Raw genomic sequence first — 26,704 nt, 5'->3', positions numbered from 1 at the left:
TCTTGCTCTGTCGCTCAGGCTGGAGTACAGTGGCACAATCTCAGCTCACTGCAACCTCCGCCTCGCAGGTTCAAGTGATTCTCCTGCCTCAGTCTCCTGAGTAGCTGGGATTACAGGTGCACGCCACCAAACCTGGCTAATTTTTGCATTTTTTGTAGAGACGGGGTTTTGCCATGTTAGCCAGGCTGGTCTTGAACTCCTGACCTCAGGTGATCCACCCACCTCAGCCTCCCAAAGTGCTGAGATTACAGGCGTGAGCCACCACACCCGGCCCCTGCTTGTTTTTCAAATGACCTCGCCGATTAAGATTTTAACACTCAGCCTTCATTAGAGACTGGCCTACGAGAAGGATCCTCAGTGCAAGGGATCTATTCTGAGAGCAAGGACAATAAAGTTGTTGGTTTGAAATGGAGACTGGTGGGTCACTGATATGGTTTGTCTGTGTCCCCACCCAAATCTACCTTGAATTGTAGCTCCCATAATTCTTACATGTTGTGGGAGGGACCTGATGGGAGATAACTGAATCATGGGGGCAGTTTCCCTAATACTGTTCTCATGGTACTGAATAATTTTCACGAGATGCAATGGTTTTCTAAGGGGTTTCCCCTTTTGCTGGGCTCTCACTCTCTCTTGCCTGCTGCTATATAAGACGTGCCTTTCACCTTCCACCACGATTGTGAAGCCTCCCCAGCCACGTGGAACTGTGAGTCAATTAAGCCTCTTTTTCTTTATAAATTACCCAGTCTCAGGTATGTCTTTATCAGCAGCGTGAAACGGACTAACACAGTCATTTCCTTTCTCACGGCATTTACCAAATTTTTCTAGTCTAAGTTTATAATCGCAATGGCCCCGGTACACTGCAGCGCCAGCACACCATGGATGTTGGGGATCCCTGAGGGAGGGAAAAATCAAGACACCGGGGGAGGAGAGGTGAACACGTGTACTCGTTTTGATAACTCCAAATTAATAAGTAAACATACACGTCTTTTATCCTCTATTAACCACAGCCTTCAGAATATTCCAATGGTGACAAATCAGCAAGGGTGTCGTCATTGTCACTTAGCACTTCCTGAGCAACACTCTTCAATTCACAGGTTTTGCATTCCTCCCTTCCTTATACAGGGAGGTGGTGACCTCAGTTCTGTACTAGGTATGGCAGGTTAATTCATCACCACCTGATTTCATGCCTAACAAAATCCAGCTCATCCCTTTAAGAGGCTGTGCCCATGCACTCTGGAAGGTGAAACGAGAGATTCAAAGTCTGACCTTCACTCTTTATACCCTGATAGTGCGAACAAATCAGGCTGGCATCTTCATACTTCGGGTCGTGAATGATGTAGTCAAAGGGCAACTTCTTGAACAGCTCCAGGTCTGGCCAGGGGTCGCTAAGCTGGAGATAATGCCAGTCAGATTCTTCTCTGAGGTCTACAAGATTGGTAGAAACATAGATGTGACAAAATAGGAAGTGAAAATGATTTACAGTCATGTGTCGCTAAACAACACAGAATACGTTCTGAGAAATGCGACATCAGGCGATTCTGTCACTGTGCTAACATCCTAGAGTGCACTTACACACACCTACACGGCACAGCCTGCTACACACTAGGATGTGTGGTGTAGCCTACTGGTCTTGGGCTACTAACCTGTGAGCACGGGTGTCCACTCTTTTGGATTCCCTGGGCCACATTGGAAGAATTGTCTTGGGCCACACATAAAATACACTAACACTAATGATAGCTGTTGAGCTTAAAAAAAAAATTGCAAAAATAATCTCGTAATGTTTTCAGAAAGTTTACAAATTTATGTTGGGCCTCATTCAAAGCTGTCCTGGGCCACATGCAGCCTGTGGGTTGGATAAGGTTGCTATATACAGCAAGTTATTGCACTAAATACTGCAGGTAATTGTAACACAATGTGAAACATTTGTGTATCTTGGCCGGGCATGGTGGCTCATGCCTGTAATCCCAGCACTTTGGGAGGCCGAGGCAGGTGGATCACCTAGGGTCAGGAGTTCGAGACCAGTCTGGCCAACACGGTAAAACCCCGTATCTACTAAAAATACAAAAATCAGCCGGGCATGGTGGCGGGCACCTGTAATCCCAGCTACTCGGGAGGCTGAGGCAGGAGAATGACTTGAACCCAGGAGGCGGAGGTTGCAGTGAGCTGAGATCTCGCCATTGCACTCCAACCTGGGTGACAAGCACAAAACTCCATCTCAAAAAAAAAAAAAAAAAAAAGAATTTGTGTATCTAAACATAGAAAAGGCATGGGGGAAATATGGTATAAAAAATGTAAAACAGTGCACTGTACCGGGCACCCACCTTGCACGGGGCTTGCAGGACTGGCAGTTGTTCCGGGTGAGTCAGTGAGTAAGCGGTGAGCAAATGTGAAGGCCTGGGACATGGCCATGCACTACTGGAGACTTGACACTCTCCTCTTAGGATACACTCGATTTATAAACGATATTTTTCTTTCTTCATTAATAAGTTAACCTTAGCTTACTATAACTTTTTTACTTTATAACCTTTTAAACTCTTTGACTCTTTTGTAATAACACTTAGCTTAAAACAAACACATTGTGCAACTGATCAAAAATGTCTTCTTTCTTGATATCCTTATTCTATGAGCTTAATATTTTAATTTTTCTACTTTTATTTGTTTTTGTTGTTTTTTTCTTGAGACAGAGTCTCGCTCTGTCACCCAGGCTGGAGTGTCACTCCAGGATGGAGTGGCACCATCTCAGCTCACTGCAATCTCCGCCTCCCGGGTTCAAGCGACTCTCCTGCCTCAGGCTGGAGTAGCTGAAATTACAGGCGCGTGCCACCACATCCAGCTAATTTTTGTACTTTTAGTAGAGACGAGGTTTCACCATGTTCGCCAGACTGGTCTCAAACTCCTGGCCTCAAATGATCCACCCACCTCGGCCCCACAAAGTGCTGGGATTACAGGCGTGAGCCACCACGCCTGGCCCTACTTTTAAAACTTTTTGTTAAAACTAAGACAGACACACACACACTCGCCCAGCCTTTACAGCATCAGGATCATCAATATCACTGTCTTCCACCTCCACATCTTGTCCCACTAGAAGGTCTTCAGGGGCAGCAACACTCATGGAGCTGTGTCATCTCCTATGAGAACAATGCCTCCTTCTGAAGCATCTCCTGAAGGACCTGCCCGAGGCTGTTCTACAGTTAACTGCTTTTCAATAAGTAGAAGGTGTATACTATAATAAAAGTATGGTAAATACATAAAACCAGTAACAGTTGTTTATAATTATCAAGTGCTATGTGTTGTACATAATTGCATGTGCTAGACTGTTGATAGTACTGGCAGTGCAGGTTAATTTACACCCGAATCGCTACAAACACTTGAGTAATGCCTCTTGCCACAAATTCCGATGACTACGATATCACTAGGTGATAGGAATTTTTCAGTTCCCCTAGAATCTCATGGGACCAACGTCACAGATGCAGTCCGTTGACCAAAACGTCATTATGTGGCGCACGACTAAATTTTAAATGCGCACAAAGGATGATGCTTGGAGTGGAATTGTTATTGAGTCCGTGGGCTGCTGGGAAACCCCATTGTATCTGCAAGGCTCTTGACACATATTCCATTTTCAGGAATGTTCTAATGAGGCAAGAATGTGCATTCAGAGCTATCTCCATCCAGAGCAACAGCCTTGTGCTGTTTGCTGTGAGAATGGCTTTGCTCTCCTGTCCCTAAGTCTGACTTCCACTCCGGCCAGAGTCCTGACCCAGAGGACCTCAGCCCTGTGCTTCACCCCAGCACCATCCCCCCAGGTGACCACACTGGTGGCCAATGCCAGCAAAACCTGCATAGCTTCCTTTCTTGCCTCTATCTAAATGCCCCCCAGCCAGTATGGCTCAGCTCCTGTCACTCCACCTATAGAAAGCCTCTCAGAGTGCTCCAGCCTAGGGGCTTCTCCCTTCTGATGCCAACAACATTCGTAGCCCAAACCACACTCTTCCATTTGCCATGTCTCATCTCACATGGTGATCATTGTAGTCTATGGTGCTTACTAAGTGTCTAAGGTAGAAAAATCTAGATGGCCCAATTCAAATTATAAAACATGTTGATTATATTAAATACATGTCCTACTATAGTACACACATGGGCAGAGTGCATGTCCATAGGAAGGCAGGGGAGAAATGCCTATGAGTATTTAATAGGTTTTGGCCAAGCACGGTGGCTCACACCTGTAATCCCAGAACTTTGGGAGGCTGAAGCGTGTGGGTCACTTGAGGTCAGAAGTTTGAGACCAGCCTGGCCAACATGGTGAAACCCTGTCTATACTAAAAATACAAAAATTAGCCAGGCGTGGTGGCACATGCCTATAAATCCAGCTGCTCCAGAGGCTGAGACAAGAGAATCACTTGAATCTGGGAGACGGAGGTTGCAATGAGCCGAGATGGTGCCACTGCACTCCAGCCCGGGCAACATAGCTAGAATTTGTCTAAAAAAAACAGTCTTGGTGCTCTGTGTGTGTCACATTTAATCCCCATAAAACCCTATAATAGAGAAATTATCCCTATTCAACAAAAGAGATAAGATTTAAAGAATGGGCTTTAACACTGAACAAACTGGGTTCAAATCCTGTCTTTATCACTGGTATGTCCAAGAAAGCAAGGAGACAAATTCAGCAGGGCTGCAGACTTCATCTGAAATGTGGTTCCAAACTGTGGGGAAACCTTAGAAAACTCAGAGCCAGCTGAAGAGCCTCTCCTTTCCTGGGAGGGAAGGCCGAGGGCTGGATGGGCTTCCTTGGCTCCAAATTTTCTCCAAGTCAAAACTGAAGCACAATCGACAGCATCTCACCAAGTGCCCTTCAGACACTGGTGCAGCTGGCTGGCAACCTCTCCACAACACAGACAGGACTCGTCTGACAAGCTCTCTCTCCCAGCACAGCAGATTCATTGACCAGACCAAGTTTATGAGCCACTGGGAGGAGGGATGAGGAGGAAACAGGGGAGGTTATTTTACATGAGCACAAAAGGGGTGCTCAAAAAGAAACTGACCTTAATCAGGGTAAACTCTGTTCTGGAAATGAGAACAGGATTTTCCCCACATTTCATGTATTTCTATTTTGCCCCAAGACACTGACCTCCCTGCTCAGCTGCCTGAGCAGGAAACCTCTCCTGAGGGGTAAGTCTGCTTTGCAGAGGCAGCAGTCAAATCTAATTCCTTCCAGCCCTGCCACTACTCAGCTGGGCTCCCAAGCATGTGATTTATCAGGAGAATGGAACATCTATCTCACCCTGGGCCTAAGAAATTGACATGGTAACTTGTGCAAAGTATCTAGGTCAGCGCTCCACATGTGGAAGGTACTCAGTAAACAGTCAGCTAATAATCATAATTGTATCACTACAGCAAAAGCCTGATACTGAGAAAAATGACTACAAGATAAATAGCACCCCCTACAAGGTCCTTGGGATGAGTCTGATCATGAATCTGAGAATTCCATCTAGAAAGTGAAATATAAAATTAAAGTCACTTGAGAAAGTGATGAAGGTGGCTCCAAGCCCACATAACCCCAAACAGATAACTCACTGATATTGATCTCCTCCTCGTCATAGACATCCACTTCTGTGAGCCGAACAAGCATCCTGGACAGGACACTGAGGAACTGCAGGTAGGCACCTGTCTTCCCGATCTGTAAAGGTATAGGAGTTAAAACCCCCAGTGAGGAAGCCCCATCCGCGTGCCAGGCACCGGCTGAACACCTGGCATGGCTCCTGACATCTGCCTCACTTGAAGATCCTGTCTTTAAAATGAGAACCCTGTGGATGCAAAGATATTTGAAGGGAAGAAGCGTGGCAGGTGGACAAATGGACTCCCACGAGCATAAGGCCTTCCTGCTTAAATATCGTCGCACACGCATCTCTAGATTTTAACCAGCCGCATTTTTAAGCTGTTAGAAATAGAAGTTTATCATAAGCCAAAGCAAGCTGCTTCAAAAAAATAGGATACTATAAACATGCCTTATGAATCTTGCAAATTGCTTGTCTTAATCATTATGTCTGTACAAGACAGCAAAATTCATTGTATAAGACATAAAAAAAAAATGCTTCTCGTATTTCTCCTTCTAAACCCAGGAAAAGAACAACTTTCTTCTTCTTCCTTCTCCTGCTTCCTATAACGTAGAGTTCCCTGCTTCCCCAGCCCAGCTTCAGGCTAGCATACCTCCTATTAATCTTAGTCCATTTTGGTTATTACTGATTGAGAAGTACCCATGGTCTGGCCCAGTACCCTCCCTGTACCACTGTATAAACAGCCACTACAGGCGTGGGTTTCCTGGCTCACACTTGTAATCCCAGCACTTTGGGAGGCTGAGGCGGGCGGATCACGAGGTCAAGAGATCCAGACCATCCTGGCCAACATGGTGAAACCCCATCTCTACTAAAAATACAAAAATTAGCCGGGCATGGTAGCATCTGCCTGTAGTCCCAGCTACTCGGGAGGCTGAGGCAAGAGAATCGCTTGAACCCGGGAGGCGGAGGCTGCGGTGAGCTGAGATCGTGCCACTGCACTCAAGCCTGGCGACAGAGCGAGACTCCGTCTGAAAAATAACAATAATAATAAACAAAAGAGCCACTCCAGGGATGTGCTTTCCAAGCACCGAGCCCAATGCTTGGTTCATGCTACAACTCAGTAAATGCCAATGAATGGAAATAACTAACTTTACAGAGGAAAATATGACACCCAACCACAGGGAAGCTTCAGAGAAAATATCTGCAATACAGATGATAGACAAAGGACAAAAATCTGTAATATCTAAAGCACTTCCACAAATCAACAAGAAAAAGTCAAATGGCCTAAAGGAAAAACAAATAAGAGAAACCAGAAAATCACTGAAAAAGAAGTATCAACGACCAGTAAAAACACAAGAATATGTCAACCTTACTAGTAAAACCGTAAGGTATTATTTTTCACCCATCAAAGAGACAACGATTTTAAACTGATAATATCCAATAGTGTGAGGGTATGGAAGAAGGGAGACTCCTTGGTAAGAAACATTTTCTTTTGTCCTTTTTAAATCAGAAAAAGTAATATTGTTCATTCTACAAGTTTAAGAAACAAATGGATACTGAACCGCATCCCAGCCCCAAAGCCCAGCTCTGTTCCAAAGAGCAGATTCCAGTCCCCAGCCCTCCTCCTCCCCACAGGCTCACGCACAGGAGATTCTGCCATTGAGAGGTGAAATGGACTTTTGTTGTTAAGGAAACACCATGCATTGCAGGAAGGCTGAGACAGGGAAACAGAACCCCTAGTTCTCCGTTCATGGTTCACCGAAACCTTCCAGTGGAGAACCCAGAGTTTTGTTTCTATTTGTCAGAGAACATGGGCAGTGGCCGAGTGAGATGATGTGGATTGAGGAACCGTAGTCTGATACACCCAGAAAGGTCTCCTGTCCGCCCCCTACATCACACAGGGGAGGAATGGAAGCCACCAGCCCTGAGTGGCAGATGAGTCCTGCCCTCCTCCCTCCGGTCCACCCCAGGCCATTGGAGAAGATTCCACCACGGGAAGGGTGAAAAGTGAAGACGTGGGTGCGGTCACCCCCAGGCCTGCCCTCCAGATGGGAGTGTGAGGACCCCCCCAGTCCGGGGCTGTGCTGGGGCAGCGAGCAACACTCACCTGAGGGGGGCCGCTGAGCAGCAGCCTGCGGGGGTGGAAGCCGTCCACGCGGCCCTCGGCCCGGTTGCCGTAGTCCATGTGGCTGGGCCGGGGCACCGTCCACTGCCGGTAGTAGAGGGACTGCTCGGTGGATGTCATGGTCTTGCTGAGCAGGGGGCGGAAAGAGCTGGCCCACATGACCGAGGGGGAGGGCAGGAGGGAGGCGGCCTTGGGCAGGCCACTGCTGTCAGTGGACACAACCATGTCGTACACGAGCTTGGGCAAGAAGACAATGGGTGGCTGGCGGCAGGCCTTGGTCAAGGAGCACTGGGAGGCCTGCAGGACCCACGTGCCGGCAGCGGGCGCCACGGATGAGGAGGATGAGCCCGAGGAGGAGGACAGCTGGGAGCACGACGAGGTGACCGACACCTGGACGCTCCTCTGGCCGGTCCTGAGGCTACAGTCGGGCTGGGGCGTCGGCCCGGGACTGTGCCTGCTGATGGCCGAGGGTGGCCCCTGACTTGCCCGGGGCCTCTGTTTCTCACCAGGGGCTCTGCCCTCCTCTGCGGGGCCACGGGGCTGGGGCGACCTGGCATGCTCTCCCTGGGGGAGTGCTGTGGGCTGAGCCGAGGACTCGCCACCGAGCGCTGAACCTGAGGAGAGACGAACATGGTCAGGGACGTCCTAGAAGGTACCTGTCCCAGGAGTCACCCATCCCAGGAGTGACCTGTCCCAGGAGTCACCCATCCCAGGAGTGACCTGTCCCAGGAGTCACCCATCCCAGGAGTGACCTGTCCCAGGAGTGGCCCATCTCAGGGGCGACTCGTCCCAGGAGTGAGCTGTCCCAGAACTTGCCGGCGGCTCCTGTTTCTGCCCCAGGCCCCCTGTACTGTTTCAGGCAAACAGACCCAGTGGTTGCAGCTTTTCTGACTGAGCTCCTGCCTATGAGGCAGGGCTTCTTTCAGTCCCCGAGCTCTGGGCTGAGGGTGAAGAGGCTCAGTGCTGACTCCATCGGGGGCATCTGGGAGGGAGACCCCAACCACCAGCTCACTGCTGTGCACAGGCGCAGGAGGTGAGGGGAAAAGAAGGGCGGCCCCAGATGCCCCCTAGCCAGTCTCCTGGTGGGCCCTGACCTCTGACCTTTCCCCGTCCCAGACCAAACAGCAGGGACTCTCAGCCGCTCCCTCAGCCACAGCTAGGCACACCCCCGGCCCCAACAACAGGAGCCTGCGGCCACCGCACACACCCGTCCCCGCACCCAGGCCCTGCACGTCTCGCCCCTGAGCCTCTCGGCCCTTAAGGCTTCCTGCACTTGCAACACCTTCCGCAAGGCCCGACTGAGGGTCAGCTGCTCTCTCAAACCTGTGGTAACCTCACCTACCCTGAAATCTGCCCTCTGCCTTGGGACAAAATTACAGACTTCTTCATATGTGAAGTGAAAATGTGTGCAAAAGACTACTGCAAAATAACACGTCTTTTATGAGAACAATGAGTTCGTTCCCTGAGGTCAGGTCTACATCTCATTTATCCTTCAGTGCTGATCCAGATAGCAAGTAGGCCCTCAGAATGCTTTTGGCGGAAAGACAGGGACTGTGCGTGCTGATGGCCGACGGTGGCCCCTGACTTGCCCGGGGCCTCTGTTTCTCACCAGGGGCTCTGCCCTCCTCTGCGGGATCCTGACTACTCTCGGAGACAGAGGAACCCCTTAGGGCAGAGACCGTGTGGAGCCTGTGGTTGGCACTGCCCACCCGCTGTGGCTGTGGCTACGCGGAAGGCTCATGAGCTTGTGTTGCCTTTTGTTGCTCTTCCCCCAGTGAAGTCTCCATGTCTACTTCTCTCCTTGCGCTCAGCTCCTCTCCCCACAGGGCACAGGGTTTTCCCAAACCAACAACGGCAGGGAGAACACCCGGGGACCCGCCCCTAACACGGCCAGGACTCAGCCTGAGGCCCCAGCCACAGTGAGGGGCAGGGTCCACGGTCCTCCCCTGAGCACAGGGGCAGCAGAACCCTACAGTCTTGCTCAGTCTTCAAGTTCTCCGATCCGAAGTTGACCACAATATTTACTCTCTAGAGAGTCTAGCACTTCAAAGATTTCCTTATCTTTCCAGTTCTGATGGAAAATAAAGGATCAGCAAATAGCCCTCTATAGGTTTCTTTTCATTCTCTGAAACCTCAAAAATCAGTCTGCTGGTCTGGTCCTTCCCGTGTGGGAAGACTCACCGGAAGCCTTGGAGGAGAGGGATGAGGATGCTGAGTCGTGGGAGCGGGACCTCTCCCTTTTCATGGGGCTTCTCTTCTCCGAGGTAGAGCCTGTTCCAAAACACACACGCTGAGAATGCACCGAAATCACCATTCCTGACATTTGCCCAGCACTTCACAGTGTGTAAAGTGTGTTCCCATGCATCACCTCTCCCCATCCATTTACTCATTCACTGCCATCTTCCAGGCCCCCACCATGGACAGAGCACTGAGGAGACAGGAGGGAGTGGGCTGCAGTGCAGGGAGGCACTCTGGGTGCAGCGAAGGCTCCTGCCCATGAGGCACAGCTGCAAGCTGGTGGAGGAGATGCAAAGAGAGAGGGGTCGGGGAGCCTGGGGGAAAAGCAGGGCATCTCCTGGAAGAGGGGGGCATCTGGCCGTCGCCCTGAAGGGCCTCAGGGTTTTGCAGGTAAAGTAGAGAAAGGAAAACTCTGAGCAGCAGGAAGGGCAGCCGTGCAGCGCAGAGGCCAGAAGGGCAGGGCACAGCCCGGCCACTGCAAGTTTAACGTGGGCCAGTGCTCAGTGCAATGCGGGCTATGGGTAGAGAGAAGCAGATGGTGAAACTAAAGAAGGGGGTCCTGAGATGCCAGGGAGCACGGAGACGTGCAGCAGATACTCACAAATGAAAGAATTAAATCAGAGTCTCTGCCGTGCTTCGAAAAGATGGCTACAGGCGGGCAGGCCTTTCCATCTACATTTTACAGACGAGCAAGCTGAGGCTAAGAGAGGTCCCACAGTCAAGACAGACAAGGCAGACCACAGACCCGCGCTGGTGCCCACACCCACCTCCTTCCATTCCACACACTCCACAAATGCTTTCTAGTTTTTGAATGACTGTCTACGTCTTTCTCATCACATTGTTGACTATAGTCAATGCCTTGCGATGTTATCATTTATGTGTCCTATTAAAAAGGCGGCATCAGATTTGAAGAGTCTGCAAATGAGCCTGTTTTCACACTTCTTAAAAATGGACAGCACGCTGTTGGGTTGATTCACAGAGGAAATAAACAAGCAAATCACACTAGGTGGGAATTCCACCAGTGAGTGGAACGAGGAACTCTAAGAAATTTTGAACTTGAACTCTAAGAAATCTTAATTTTTCTTCCTATTCTTTAAGAATTCTAGAACTAGGAAAAACCTATAGGGATTTCCATTTTCTCACACCACCAAAAGAGATGGGGAGAAAACAAACAAAATCTGAATTCAGTGAGAGCTCTGCCATTTCATCCAACACTGGAGACCTCTCATCCAGAGCCGCTGTCCAGCAGACAGGTCCCAGGACCCTGCTGAACTGGAGACAGCTGTCTCCATAAGCACAGGCAGCCTCAAAGCTCAGAAGCCAAGAAAGACATGCAGACAGGGACAAGTAGGCTGAGGGCAGCCATCCCTCACCTTCTGTCCCCAGCTCCTCATCCTCGTTGTCTGTGCTGCTCAGCTTCTCAGCATCACTCTCCAAGGCCTCGTTCCTAGCCCCCTTCTCCAAGGGAACCTCGTTGCTCACAAAGTAGGCAGCCAGGCCCAGCTCCTGCTCCAAGGCTGTTCTCACCAAGCAGGAGGAGTTTATCAATCGCAGGTCACAGTACCTCAAAGACCTAGCAAGACACAGAAGAAGGTGTCTGTTTAGTGCCTTCCACAAGTGGAGTGCTGTTCCCACTGCGGCAGGCAGCACTGATCGGGACCACACCCCACCTTCCTGGTGAGGACCCAAGGACTCGTACAAGTGGAAAAGCCAACAGTGTTACTGGGAGCTTGCAGCAACAAATTCAGTATAATAGTAAATCTTTGGGGACACCCACTATGCATTTAGCTCTGTGCTGCACTAACTTTTGGGTCAGATAAAAAAGGGGCTTGCAGCACTTTGGGAGGCCGAGGCGGGCGGATCACAAGGTCAGGAGATCGAGACCATCCTGGCTAACACGGTGAAACCCCGTCTCTACTAAAAATACAAAAAATGAGCCAGGCGTGGTGGCGGGCGCCTGTAGTCCCAGCTACTCGGGAGGCTGAGGCAGGAGAATGGAGTGAACCCGGGAGGCAGAGCTTGCCGTGAGCCGAGATTGTGTCACTGCAATCCAGCCGGGGCGACAGAGCCAGACTCCATCTCAAAACAAAACAAACAACAACAACAACAACAAAAAGGGGGGGCTTGAACCTGAGCTCTGCTACTTCCTAGCGACAGAAGCCGTGACAAGCTGCACAACTTCTCTGAGGCTCTGATTTTTTCATCTGAAAGATGGGAATGAATATTAATAACCATCTGGCTGGGCGTGGTGGCTCACACCTGTAATCCCAGCACTTTGAGAGGCGAAGGCGGGCCGATCACTTGAGGTCAGGAGTTCAAGACCAGCCTAACCAACATGGCAAAACCCCATCTCTACTAAAAATACAAAAATTAGCCGGGTGTGGAGGCAGGTGCCTATAATCCCAGCTCCTCGGGAGGCTGAGGCAGGAGAATCACTTGAACCCAGGAGGCGGAGTCTGCAGTGAGTTGAGATTGCACCACTGCACTCCAGCCTGGGCAACAGAGTGAGACTCCGTCTCAAAAAAAAAAAAAAAAAAATCTAAGTCCGCTGTGATAAAGATTAAATGTAATCAGTGAGCATTTAATTATTCAATCCAAGTGAACACAGGCCAGGGTACTAGATGCTAGAAATATGATGGCAATCAAGTCGGACACCAACAAGCAATGCTATCTGTGAGCAGCAGAGGAAAGGCCAACCCCGTGCTCAGACTTGCGCAGCAGAAACACAACCAAGGCAAAGGGCTTAGAGAGGGGTACGTGAGGGTTCCAGTGGGGCTCTGAAACTTACTGCTCATGACCTCAAGCAAATGATCGTTCATTGACTCAACCATGAAACAGGATGGTAATACTACTGCAGCAAGGAGTAAGTTTCATATGAAAAGTCTATCATGATGCCTGGTACAAAGAAGGTACCAGAAGGTACCTGGTATTCAGCAAATGCTTGCTAAAATTTAAAATAGATTAAGACATTGTCTCAGTCCTTAAGGAGTTGAAGAAGAAAAGAATTAATCCATGTGAAATAGCAACAAGCAAGGTCAAATGTTCTGGAGCCCCCTTCCCCTGGCCCATGAGTATGCAGCATGCACAGGGCCGTTTGCTGAAGTGTGGGGTGCTCCTGGGGGAAGAAGCCAGGCCCACTGCTGGCCAGACTGGCTTAATCTCAGTAAGCCTCAGTTTCTTCATCCGTAAAATGGGACTACTGAAATAGCACCTTTCCCCCAGGATTAAGGTGAGAGTAAAATGAAATAAAACCTAAAAGAAGAATCTAGGACAGTTCCCAGAACATAACAGGAATTCCACTGATGTCGGCTTTTGCTATCTTTTGCTGGCCGTCTGCTCTTCTCCACCGGTATGAAGTCTCTAAAACCCAATCTGTCACTACCAATCCAAGAAACTGCCTTACAGGAGGCCCAGGGACCTGAGTCTCGAGTGTCCGCATGTCTGTGTGGTGGCCTAGAGACCCCCCACACCAGCGGACATCGAGTGGATATGTGGCTAAGACTTTCCAGGCTGTGATGGATTCAGAGGGACACATCTTTTGAGACAGTCCACTCTGTGCTGGAAGAACCAGCTCTTCCCGAGCAGCGTCAGTTGCCTCCACTCCCAGAACGCCTCCTAAGCCGGGAGGGCCCAGGCATTGCGGCAGCCTAGGTACCAGCAGGAACTGTGGCTGCAACTCCTGGAGAGGATGCCGTACTGTCCCAAGCAGAACTGCCATCCCCAGCACACACAGAGCGCCCCATGGGGAGACACTGAACTCAGGAGGCATGAAATCCTGACTCCACCTGCAGAGCCTCCACCCGTAGAGCCTGGCAACAGCCGTCACCACGAGCCCAAACAGCGCCTTTCTGAGAATCAGGAGAAGGGGCACGGGCCTCAGACGCACTCAGGCCCATGCTGGGAAAGCCACGATGAAGGCCCCACCCACGGGGCCTGTGAATGTGAGTGGTGCTGCCTACCGTCAGGGCACAGCAGCCCCCCTGACATGCTCCTTGAGGGGGCCCAGGCAGCCAGCTCCTCAGAGACCCCCAGGGGCATAACCCCTCCACTCACCTCGGCAAGGACTCCCCATGCGGGTCCATCCCACTGAAGATCAGGATGCAAGGCAGACCCTCCAGCTCCAAGTAAGTCTGGGGTCTCCACTCCACATCCTCAATTTTCTGCCACATCTGCAGATAACGAAAAAGAAATAAAGCCACAGACGCCTCCCTTCCCAACCAGCCCAGCTCAGAGGAATCCTGATGGCCTCCCACACCAATTTAAACTCCTTGAACTATATCTTCTGACCAAAAGGAAATTTCTTTAGACTGCAAATAAGCACACCATCCACTTGGCCACCGTATTTTCAGTCGGCTAGAACATGGAGATTAGCCAGCCAGAGCATGTCCAAGACATCTCTATCAGCTGACCAGCTCCGTGAAAGGAAGTCTATGTTGTCAGCTGCTCCTTAAGTCTTTTTTTTTTTTTTTTGAGACAGAGTCTCGCTGAGTCACCCAGGCTGGAGTGCAGTGGCGCAATCTCAGCTCACTGCAACCTCCACCACCAGGGTTCAAGTGATTCTCCTGCCTCAGCCTCCCGAGTAGCTGGGACTACAGGCGCACGCCACCCCATCTGGCTAATTGTTGTATTTTTAGTAGAGACAGGGTTTCTCCATGCTGGCCAGGCTTATCTCGAACTCCTGACCTCAAGTGATCCGCCCGCCTCGGCCTCCTAAAGTGCTGGGATTACAGGTGTAAGCCACCGCGCCCAACCAGCTGTTCCTTATGTCTTGCCTGTGCTCTCTCCTGACAGTGTCCTCCCTTTCATTCCTGTTTTCCACTCATTTGTTCTTTCCCTAAACCTTTTGCATTTTCTGTCACCTGCAGATTGAGTGAGAACCTACTATGGGCCAGGCGCTGTGCTAGGCTTTGGGGGCTGAGTTCTGTGGGGATGGCCATTGCCCCCCACCATCTGGGAGAGGGGCTAGATGACAGGCAGGGAGCATGGCACTGCCCTGGGCATGGCAGAGGGGGAGGGTGGCTTCCTGAAAGAGGAAAGACACCAACCTAAGTGCTGCAGAAAATAAGCAGGGCAGCTCACACCTGGAACCCAGCACTTTGGGAGGCTGAGGCAGGAGGGTTGCTTGAACTCAGGAGTTTGAGATCAGCCGGGGCAACATGGAGAAAATTTTAAAAATTTTAAAAATTAGCCGAGTGTGGTGGCACACGCTGGTGGTTCCAGCTACTCAGGAGCCTGAGGTGGGAGGATCCCTGGAGCCCAGGAGCTCAAGGCTGCAGTGAGCTGTGATCACGCCACCGCACTCCAGCCTGGGCCACAGAGTGAGACCCTGTCTCAAAGGGGAAAATAAAGAAGCATCAGCTAAACAAAGAAGAGAGGAAATGGATGCCCAGGAAAAAAGAAAGCAGGCTGTTGCCCAGAGGTCTAAAGTCATAAGGCAATGCTGCAGGGGTGTGGGGGTGCTGCTGGGGCGGAGGGCAGAGGTGGGGAAGCACAGAGAGGAGGCTGAGGGGTGGCTGGGTCTAGGGAAGCCACGTTGGCCACGCTGTGGGGTTCGTGACACTCCCTGCCTCTGGTGGGCCCCTCAGCTCTCCCAGGTACCCCCAGGCCCTCCGCCCCTCCCTGCGCACAGCACCTACCCTGAGCTGCTTTACGAAGTGCTTCCCCACGGTGACGCCTGAGCTGGGACTGCCCAGGATGATCTCAAAGTGCTCCTCCAGCGCCAGCCGGGCCCGCACGTGGGCCAGCCGCTCATAGGCCACCACCGCCAGGGGCGAACAGGGCACCCGCAGCAGGACCATGAGCCCGTGGCCGCAGGGGCACTGCTTCGGGGAGTTGAGGAGGTTCTGCGTGATCTCCAGCGTCTCCACCGACGTGTAGTTCTTCATCTGCGGGAGGCCGCTTACGGCCATCAGGGCGGCCGCGTAGTGCTGCACGAGAACAAAGGTCCTGATCACCGCGCTGTGCAGGCGGGGGAACCTGCAAGGAACACAGAGAGACCATGTCTGTGACGGCCGCGCCCACCGGCCTGCTGCTGCCAAGTCACCCAAGACATCCGTCACTCTACCACAGGCAACTCCGGCATTATACGCAGTTGTGTTGCCTCTGGAAGGTGGTTGTGGGAACCTGAATGAGAAGCCTTCTTTAGAAATCAAATTATACAGTCCTTTGTTTTTTCCAGCTGGAAAACAAAAACATAGGTTTGTTGTTATTACGTTTTTCCAGCATTTGGCACTTAGTAGCTGCTCAATAAATATTTGTCCAATGAATGAGCAGATGAATAAATGGTATAAATGCCTATTTTGTCTCTATCAGCACAATGTGCAGCTCTCTGAGGAGGGGACTAAGTTGCCTCTGGTTCCTACTAGAAACAGGAGAACCACCAGCAATCAATATGGAAATGCAGCTACCGGAGGCCCGAGTTCTAAAGGCCCATCTCTGTGTTCACTTCGATCACAGTGAATTATTAGAAATATAACTAAACGTATTTTGACAGACTAATTACAAATCAGAACATATCCAGCCAAATCAAGAATCCCAGTTTTTGCTTCAGAAACTGTGGTTACTATCTGTGTCCCCACACAAAGGTGGTGGCTGCTCCCACAACCACCTGCTCTCCTAGAGTGGCTCTGACCCGTTAGTCACACAGACCCCAGGGCACCAATGGAAAAGCCCAGGTCCCTGTAGATGATGGTGTTTCTCAACGTGAATAAATAAATTGGTATCCAGTTTATGCACAATGTTCTTCTGGGTTGATTGAGCTGGAATGGGTCCTCCTGACTCTGGCTTTTTGTAGCAAAGGTAAGGTAGTTTCTCGACCTACAAAAATGAGTACCATACCGTGGCCATGCCACCCTGTGAGTTCTATCAGGGCAGCCAGCTCGCCTTCCTACAGCACTTGATAGCATTTCTGACATTGCGATGACATCCCTGCTCCTTCTTCCTGACCATCCTCCTCCTTTTCTTCATGTTTCCTTCAGCACTTCATCCACTACGCAGGTCACATAAGCTGGAAGCTGGCCTGGCAAGCTTGCCATTACCAGGGCTGTCTAGGAAGGTATAACTGGTCCACAGACTCTGGCATGAAGGGGACTCAGCAGCCCAGGGACTGCTCTACCTACCCCTGGTGCACCTGTCAAATAATGCCCAGGAAACGGATTGCCTGAGGTCAGGAGTTTGAGGCCACCCTGGCCAACATGATGAAACCCTGCCTCTACTAAAAATACAAAAGTTAGTCAGGCATGGTGGCACACGCCTGTAATCCCAGCTACTTGGGAGGCTGAGGCAGGAGAATCGCTTGAACTCAGGAGATGGAGGTTGTGGCAAGCCAAGATCATGATCACCACTGCACTCCAGCCTGGGCCACAGAGCGAGACTCCATCTCTAAATAAATAAATAAATAAATAAATAAATAAATAAATAAAATAATAATGCCCAGGAAGAAAGAAAGAAAGTGCAGTAGGGAAAATGGGCTCTGCTCAAAGGACAGAGATTTCTGCTTCTGACAAGATGGAGCAACGGGATCAGGTTTATCCTCCCATCTGAAACAGCTGAAAAACTGAACACATAAATGAAACAACTGCATTTCAATACATGGGACATCAGGCAGTGAAAGACAGTGATCCTAACAATGTGAGACAAATTAGGTGAGTCCCCCAGCTTCTGCCTACAGTTTCTGGGATGTACTCAGGAAGAGGGAAGCCAGCCAAAGCTCGGTGGTCTCCCTGAGTTGAGGAGAGGTATCAGATTCCGGGAAAGCCAAGGCAGCTAGAGATCACAGGGCAAAGTACCAAAGAGGAGAGATCTGCAGAGGGTCTCCCTAAAGTCTTCAGTTGATATGAGCAGTGCACATATGTAAGGAAATGACCCAAAGCCAAAACAAGAATCCTTTGGTTGCAAACGAATTAAAGGGAACAATGTCTCAAGTTCATGTAGGGCTGGGAATAGTTCCTGTTTCCACAGCCAATATGGAACACCTCGGAGTCATGAAACATTGTAGAGTACTTACTCAGAGGATTTTGTCTCAGTAATGGGCAAAGTTAGCGCTACATTAAATACTGCTCTGGTCCTGACTAACAAAGTTTAAAACCAAGACCTGGAAGGATTAAACTGTGTGCAAGTAACTTAGTTGTATCACAAAAACACCTCAGTATTTATAGACATACAAATATATCTAGCACCCAACAAGGTAAAATTAACAACGTCTGGTATTCTCTCAAAAATTACCAGACATGTAAATAAGCAGGCAAATATGATCCATAATAAAGGGGGGGAACCAATTGATCAGTAGAAACTGACCTAGGAATGACACAGATGACAGAATTTGCAGACAGCAAAATTAAAACAATTATTGTAACTATATTCTATATGGTTAAAAATCTAGAGGAAAGACTGAACTTGTTGAGTGAAGATATAAAAATCACAAATTAAATTCTAGAGATGAAATCTTCAATGTCGTAGATAGAAAATAAACTAGACCCTGAATTCTCATGGGAGCTATGATCTTTGTATGTGACCTTGCCCTGCCAGCCACAATAGAGTGGTTCAGGTATGGAAACCCAACTCAGGCTGAGCCAGTCTTCTCTTGGGATTTTTCAAACAATAAGAAAGAATAAGTCCCCCTCTGGAATCTAGAGACCGTGAGGCTCAGCATCAAGCAGTGGTAATGTTTTTCAGTGCACAGAGGAAGACACTGTGCAGTGAGATACAATAAAACCATCATACAGATACCAAAGACAAAACAACACAGTCTTGGCGGTGTTTGAATACTTAAGTTGTTAGGTATCTCTGCTGTTCTATGGTTTATTTGTTCAACCTTTCCTATTCTTTTACAAGTCAATACATCTCTCTCTTTTTCTGAAAAGAGTTCAAGTTGAGTTTCTGTTACTTGCAACAAAGAGTCCTGATTAATAAACACAGTAACTATGTATCATCAATGTGTATGTACATCAATGCACGTGACACCTGAAATTGTCTTTTTTCTCTTAGGAATCTTGTCATAAAACTGTGCTTTTCTAAGATAAATATATATATATGTATATATATGCATATATGTGTATATATGTATATATATGTATATATGTATATATGTGTATATATGCGTATATATATGTATGTACATATATGTATATATATGTGTATATATATGTATGTACATATATGTATATATATGTGTATATATATGTATGTGTGTGTATATATATATACACACACACACACACACACACACACACACACATACATATACTGGATGAAATTGGCAGCAGATTAGATAACATAGAAAATAAGATTAATAAACTTGAAAACACAGCAATAGAAACTAAAATGTTCCAGCACTTTGGGAGGCCAAGGCAGGAGAATCACTTGAGGCAAGGGGTTCAAGACCTTGGCAATATAGCAAGAAAAATTTTTAAAAATTGGCCAGGCATGGTGGCATGCACCTGTAGTCCCAGCTGTTTGGGAAGCTGAGATGGGGGGATGGCTTGAGCCCAGGAGTTTGAGGTTACAACGAACTATGATCATGCCACTGCACTTCAGCCTGGGCAACGGCCCTAAAATATTTTTTCTCTAAAAAATAATAATAATAGGCAAGGCATGGTGGCTCACGCCTGTAATTCCAGCACTTTGGGAGGCCATGGCAAGCAGATCATGAGGTCAGGAGATCGAGACCATCCTGGCTAACATGGTGAAACCCTGTCTCTACTAAAAATACAAAAATTAGCTGGGCGTGGTGGTGCGTGCCTGTAATCCCAGCTACTCAGGAGGCTGAGGCAGGAGAATCACTTGAACCCGGGAGGCAGAGGTTTCAGTGAGCCAAGATCATGCCTCTGCACTCCAGCCTGGCAACAGAGTGAGACTCCGTCTCAAATAATAATAATAATAATAATAATAATAATAATAATAATAATGAAACTAAAATCAAATAGCAATCAATTAAAAGGCAGAGATTGTCACATTTGATTAAAAAGCAAGACTCAACTATAAGCTGCCTACAAGAAACGAAGTTTAAACACAAAAAGAGAAACATGCTCAAAGTAAAAGGATAAAAAATTATAATCTATAGTAACACTAGTCAAAAGAAAACTAGAATAACTGTATTAATATCAGAAGCGATTATAGAGCTATAAATAATATTCTTTGGGTCGTTTGAAAATAATAAAGGAGTCAACTTATCAAGAGACACTTCACCAAAGATGATACACAAATGGCAGATAAACATAGGAAAAGATGTTCAACATCATCAGTCATTGGAGAAATTAAAATTAAAATTACGAGCTACCACCTCATACCTATTAGAATGAATAAAATTTAAAATACTGACCATACCAAGTGCTGACAAAGATGTGGAGCCACTGAAATTCTGATGGGAATGTAAAATGAACGACAGCTGACCCTTGAATAACACAGGTTTGAACTTCAAGGGTCCACTTGTATGTGGATTTTTAACCAAATGCAAATCAAAAATACAGTATTTTCTAGACGTGAAACCCATGTACATGGAAAGTTGACTTTTGCTTACATGTGGGTTCCAGAGGGCTGACCATGGGACTGGAGTATGCATGGATTTTGGTATGGCGGGGACAGTTCTGGAGTTAACCCCCCGTGTATACCAAGGGACAGCTACGCTTTGGAAAACAATTTGGCAGCTTGTGAAAAAGTTAAACATACACCTATCAAATAACCCAGCCATTTCACAACTAGGTGTTTACCCATGAAAAGGGAAAGTATATGTCTATACAAAGCTTTGTACATGAATGTTCATAGCACCTTTATCTGTAATAGCCAAAACCGAAAAACAACCTAACTGCCTCTTAACCAGTAAATAAACAAACTAGTATGGCCATACGATAGTATTCTATTCTAGAATACCAGCAGTAAAAAGGAACAAACTATTGATACATAAAACAACATGGATGAATTTCAATATAATTATACAGAGTGAAAGATGCCAGGCCAAAAACAGAGTACCTATTGTACAATTCCATTTATATAAAACTCTAGAAAATGCAAACTACATTTCTACTGTGGGAAAAGGACAGGAGGAAGGAATTACAAAGGGCCAGGAGAAAACTGTTTTTCATTACCTTTTGGTGACCAGTCTATACGTGGATCAAAATGTAAATTGAATACTTTAAATATGCACAGCCGGGCACGGTGGCTCACGCCTGTAATCCCAACACTTTGGGAAGCTGAGGTGGGCAGATCATGAAGTCAGGAGTTTGAGACCAGCCTGACCAACGTGGTGAAACCCCGTCTCTACTAAAACTACAAAAATCAGCTGGCCGTGGTGGCAAGCGCCTGTAATTCCAGCTACTTGGGAGACTGAGGTAGGAGAATTGCTTGAACCTGGGAGGCAGAGGTTGCAGTGAGCTGAGATCGCGCCGTTGCACTTCAGCCTGGGCGACAGAGTGAGACTCTGTCTCAAAAAAAAGAAAAAAAAAGATATACGGTCTACTGGCTGTCAGTTATTCCCCATTAAAGCTGCTGCGTAAAAAAAAAAAAAAAAAAAAAAAAAAAAAAAAGAAGCAGGCTCTGGTGCCCAGCTCCAGACAGTACCCCCAGGTCAGGCACAGAAATGTACCCTAGCTGTGGCTCAGCAGAGAACTATGCCCACCCTTAAGCCTCTGTGGTAGGTACTAAAGGAAAAAAGTTCCATAGACAATATATTAGAATAAAAATAGGAGTTGTCAAAGGTCTAGATCTTTTGTTTTTAAGTCACAGTAGGTTTGTGTCCAACTGACAGTCCTACAAGCAGTTTTCCCAGCCGTATGCTGGCGTTTATGGCACATAGAGGACTAACAGTCGGACCACACACATGGTGGCAAGAAGCAGTAACCCCATGTTCTAACCTTTATCTCCTTCTGTTCAAATTACCAGTTTCAAGAGAGTTCTCCAGACAAATGATTCCTAGTAAAGGCAGTGCGGTATGGTGGAAAGATGTCAAACCTGTCTGCAGTCCATGTTGCCACCAACAGGCTGCATGAAGTCGGGCAAATCACTCTCCCACTCGGCTTCAGTTCCCACAATTATAAAATGAGGTGGTTGGGCCAAATAATTCCTAGAAGTTCCTATGATTCTCCATACTTCAACAATCCAGGGTTTGAAATTCTCTTTTCACCCAGTGAGACATAAGATTTAATCTCTGCAACACTTCTAGTTTAGCAGAGGGGGAGAGAGAAGAGAGGATGATGATGGTGAATAGTGGTGGAGGTGGTGGTGCTAGCAGCCAACAGAAGCATGTAATGTGTGCCAGGCCCTGTTTCCAAAGCTTTAGGTGTATGAATCCATTTAATCCTTATAGTACCTCTATGATGTAGGTGTTATCATCCCCAAAGAAAATCGAGAAACTTTCTCAAAGTCTCACAGCTGGTTAACGGCAGATTCAGGATTCAAACCCAGGAAGGATGATTTTGGAGCCTGAGCTCTCAGCATGCAACTGTTACTGAATGTGCACACGTACATTAGCTCATGAAACTCTAAGAAGCCACCAGCAAGGTGGATTTCTACAGGTCAGGGTACAGAAGTTTAGACAGGTTAGATGATTTGCCAAGGTTAAAACTGATAGAGGGTAAACCAAGATGTATTGGCATGGTGGTCACAGCCCACCCTTTACTAGCTGTGAGACTTTGGTCAATGTGGCTTGGTGGCTACGTGGTTTTGGAGCCAAGCAAGCAGGGTTGGGGTCCAGTTTCACTATAAACCCCCCATGTGACTCTGGACAAGTAGCCTAACTTCTCTAAGTCTCAGTTTCTTCATCTGAAAAAGGGAGATAACAGTATTTCCTATCTCACTGTGTCACTGTGAGGATTATTTTAGGTAATAAATATAGAGTGCTGAGCCCAGTGTCTACAACATACTAAACACATCATGTGTGCTCACTGTCTGAGGAGAAGCAGAGGAAGGGCAAAGGCCGGTTTTCTTGCCTCAATGTGAAATCTTGGAGGGCTACTTCATGCAGCCAGTTGATGAGAGCTCAGCTGTCGATCCATGTGCTGGAGAACTGACCTGATTAATTTCTATCAGTATCACAGAACCGAACAGTATCTAAGAGATTTAGTTTCTGCAAGAGTGTTCTGGGAAATTCTAGTCCCACGAGCTACTGGACACATCTCTAGCCTTCTGGAGAATTACAGCATGCATGGATGTGCTGAAGGCTCCAAGAACTCTCATGGAAAAGAAGTCCTTTCCTTAAATGTTTCTCAGACACGTTTGACCATGGAACCCCTTTATGCTTAATAGCTATTAGTATCCAGCCAAAGCAGTATACCTTGGAACATAGCTTGAGAAGGATATGTCTAACTTCATCCCTTGGTCTGCAAATGAGAAGAATGAGGTTCAGTAAGAAAAGCGGGTAGAAACCAGCTCATGCTGACAATCAGTGGTATTTTGTTCAGTGGCATTTTGCTTTGCATTAGATCGTCTATAAAACTTGGCCTGGCTTTACCACGAATAAACCATGTGGTCCCTGGCAATCACTTAGCCTGTCTGAGCCTCAATTTCATCTATAAAATGAGGTCTGTTGCGACAGGGTTAAAGGGGCTGGCTGTGCAGTCAGATTGACTCTGGGTTCTCACCCAGTTCTGTCACTTGCTAGACACGTAGCCTGAGAAAGCTATGGGGCCTCTCCAAGCCTCAGCCTCTTCATTTGCAAAGTATGAATAACAGTAGCAAGTGGCTCAGAGAGGCAGTGAGGATCAAATCAGATAATGAAAGTAAAGTCCATGGAAGAGTGAACGGCACAAAATAAACATTCAATACATGATATGCATCGGAAATAAAAACAAAGCTGACTATGATCATCACTCCAGTTTCTTTTAAAGCTTTGTTATCTTCCTCCCATTTTCCTACCCTCCATTGGCTCAAAAACATAATTCCACATTCCAGCATATTTCCGCTCATTGTCATCTCTAAAATTTTCTAGAGCAACAGGATGACAAAGATATCGCTGACCCAAAGGGATTCAAATAGAGGAGAAGGAAAAAACCAGGGTACATTTAGTGGAGAAACTGAGTTGCTCAGGAAGGAAAGGCCTCCCTTCCTGGAATTCCCTGGCTGGCTAAACGCACCTCAACTTGCCCTTTAAGCTACTGAGCACTTCTAGTAACTTAGAAGAGAAACAAGTACCTTTTTCCTAATGCAGTGACCATGGCCTCAAAGGAGCTATCGTATCTGAGCAAGGGGAGGCTGTGTCCTGAAAGGGTGGATTCAATAAACTCCGACAGCCCGAAGTACTTCTTATTTTCATGATATAAGTCCACTCCCTAAAACAAAGAAGAGCGTCGGTCACTCCAACACTGCATTCGCAGGGACGGTCAGAGGTTCGTGTGCCAGGCCTGCGGATGACCTGGGTTGGCAACTTCATCCAAATCGTGCCCACTGTGCAGTGGCTTGGATGGCATTTTATAAACTTCTTCCATCTGCAGAAGCAGAGCAAAGTACCTCCCATACTTTAAAAATGGTGTGTCCCCATTGCTCAGGAGTTTTCCATTCATTTGGTCCCAATGTTTTTACCAAGAAGAAAATCAGCCTTATCTTATTTTAACATATACATTTCTTTGTTAAATTTGCTTCTTTCTACAATCTTAAGCTGGTTTTAGGAATGGGCAAATCAATTATTTTGCATTCAGTTGCTACTAAAAATCAATAGACAAAGAAAACATTTACCTAGCCAATTTTACTCACACAGACATAAAATTCCAAAGTTGGGGGAGTTTGTTGAAAATATTAAGGCATGAAAACTCTACTCCTAAATAGCACAGTGGTTAAGGGCCGAGCCATGGAGCCAGTGGCCTGGGTCATATCCTAGCTCCACGACTTTCTAGCTGCCTGGCCTGAGCCAAGTGGCCCAACTCTTGTTGGCCACTTTGTCTCATGTTCCCCATTTGTAGATGAGAACTCATCCTAGCACCTGCCTCTTGCATGAGCTCACAGCACGAAGCACTTTGGGCAGGGCTTCCCTGGCCTATGGGAAGTGCCTTATGAACAATGGCTATCCCCACCATGGATTCTCAGTCCACAGGACGGAAGCCAGGTATTTTTTAAAGTTTCTCAGAGGATTGCGAGGCACTCCAAAAAAGTCTCATCTCTTACGTTTACTTATTCTTGTGTAACTAACTACAAACCACCCAGAATTCTCAAATTACCAGGATTGTTTTAGTCTTCTATTTTGATGAGAAAATGTCAGGTGATAAGCTAAAAACTCATCAAGTTTTGAGGATATGTGTTCAGTTTGAGGAAGGAGATTCTGAATCTCACTACTTAAGGATGCAGGGATAGGGAAAACAGGAACCTTCCTAGGGCTTCTGGAGACATTAAGCGTTGCTCTGTATGGAGCCCAAAGCCCCCAGCGCCTAAGGGCTCTACCTTCAATATCTCCATTCAATGCCATAGAACAAACATTCCACATGCTGCTCAGAAAGCGGCAGTCACCAGAGAAAATGTCCCACAAACTGCATTACATCTTCCGAGATGAGGAAGCCAACTGGCGTACTGCAGGAAGGTTACCAAAAAGACCAAGAAGGGTTTACAACCTAACTCTGGGTTGAACCAAAGATCCAAGGAGCTGGAACCCATTATCCTCAACCACACTGGTCAAGGCTGTTACTAAATGTAATTTCTGCAAACCCAAGTGATATTGCTACACAAGGGCCCAGCAGCCCCGTGGCACTCACATTACTGCAGGAGGCAGGCCAGTGGATCTCGTTGTAGGGGCTGATGAGGGTGTGCTGTGTCTGCAGTGCATACGGGAAGGAGGTCACGTGAAGTGTCACAATGTTGGGGGCCTCCTTCACCTCCCTGCAGTTGAGCAATCGGTCCACCAATCCCACCGACGGGTCACTTTGAGAATAGAGGTTATGAACAGTGCTACTGAGGGAGGAGAAGACACAATCAGTGGAATTACTATATTGTTTTCTAATTTTGCAAGGTGAAGCAGTTGAATAAATTTATAACTAACCCCTGACTTTACCAACGACTAAAGATTATGGCTCTGCCCCTGACTAAGAATAGAGAAAATAAAAAAGGCTGGACTTCAGGTAGCTGTCAGGGGCTCTCCTGAGATTCGTTACTTAGGAAAAATGTGTCTGGCGTGGGACGGTAGTCAGAGAGGATTTCTTACAAGACACACACTCCTTCTATCCCAATCGGACAGTGATATGACCCTGGGGATGTTCCATGAATCATTTGTTCCTCTTTGGCCCCATCTGATTGTGTACTTATCTCCTTACACAGTCCTTCTGACCTTGAAATGATCCAGAAAAGATGTAAAAGAGTAAATTCTATAGTCAGTTTAAAAGGCAGCAGGAAAGGATTGGGAAGCATTTTGGACAAGGGGTCTAGGAGACAGGCCCAGCTCTGCACTTTTCCGTGGGACAAAGGCCTTTGCATTCTCTCCTGTAAGTTTAGGGGATTAAAAAAAAAAATCAGTGCTTAACCCTTTGGATGGCAGGAGGCCACTCTGAGAAACCTATTCCCAAAATGAATATTCACAATACAGCTCTTTCTATAATTTCGGAATGTTCCGATTTCCCCCAAGCCCACACATGGATTCTGGATTGTAAACCCTTTACGAGGTCCTTCATGTCCTGACCAGCCTAACTAGCTATCTGTGGATCTGCGACAATCAAAGGCTTTCTCCACGACCTGGCCCAGGAGCCCCCTCCTTCCTCATCTACATCAGTGGAAATGTCTGAAGGTACAACCCCTAGGCCAGTCTCACGGAGATGACCAATCCCGGTAAACCACCAGAAATCCTGCCAGGCGCTTGGCTTGGCCCATCTGAAATTCATCTGGG

General features: G+C 47.5%; 1 protein-coding gene across 21 annotated transcripts in view, besides 1 other annotated feature; it reads right to left on the bottom strand.

Moving 5' to 3' along the window:
- GREB1 (growth regulating estrogen receptor binding 1) overlaps positions 1–26,704 on the bottom strand; it is a 159,901-nt gene that overhangs the window by 16,210 nt on the left and 116,987 nt on the right. For 8 of the 21 annotated variants that reach the window (XM_024453251.2, XM_047446460.1, XM_024453256.2 and 5 more), the window contains exons 16-24: positions 25,584–25,779; positions 24,037–24,173; positions 15,552–15,891; positions 13,969–14,084; positions 11,289–11,488; positions 9,859–9,948; positions 7,660–8,291; positions 5,572–5,674; positions 1,267–1,425 (exon numbers count right to left, since the gene is read on the bottom strand). In XM_024453251.2, coding sequence (XP_024309019.1) covers positions 1,267–1,425; positions 5,572–5,674; positions 7,660–8,291; positions 9,859–9,948; positions 11,289–11,488; positions 13,969–14,084; positions 15,552–15,891; positions 24,037–24,173; positions 25,584–25,779 — 1,973 coding nt within the window. Of the gene's footprint in view, positions 1–1,266; positions 1,426–5,571; positions 5,675–7,659; positions 8,292–9,858; positions 9,949–11,288; positions 11,489–13,968; positions 14,085–15,551; positions 15,892–23,179; positions 23,226–24,036; positions 24,174–25,583; positions 25,780–26,704 lie in introns of those variants that run through there. The other 13 variants (XM_047446462.1, XM_047446465.1, XM_047446464.1 and 10 more) reach the window with 6 other exon arrangements.
- Positions 9,854–10,354: an enhancer, noted in NCBI's record as "H3K4me1 hESC enhancer chr2:11756351-11756851 (GRCh37/hg19 assembly coordinates)". NCBI's record gives its function as "activates a minimal SCP1, AML or CMV promoter by ChIP-STARR-seq in primed H9 embryonic stem cells {active_cell/tissue: H9 hESC(primed)}" and the evidence as "EXISTENCE:reporter gene assay evidence [ECO:0000049][PMID:30033119]".

Source organism: Homo sapiens, chromosome 2, assembly GCF_000001405.40.
Source record: "Homo sapiens chromosome 2, GRCh38.p14 Primary Assembly".
NCBI lineage: Eukaryota > Metazoa > Chordata > Mammalia > Primates > Hominidae > Homo > Homo sapiens.
This window is presented reverse-complemented; position numbering and strand designations above follow the sequence as displayed.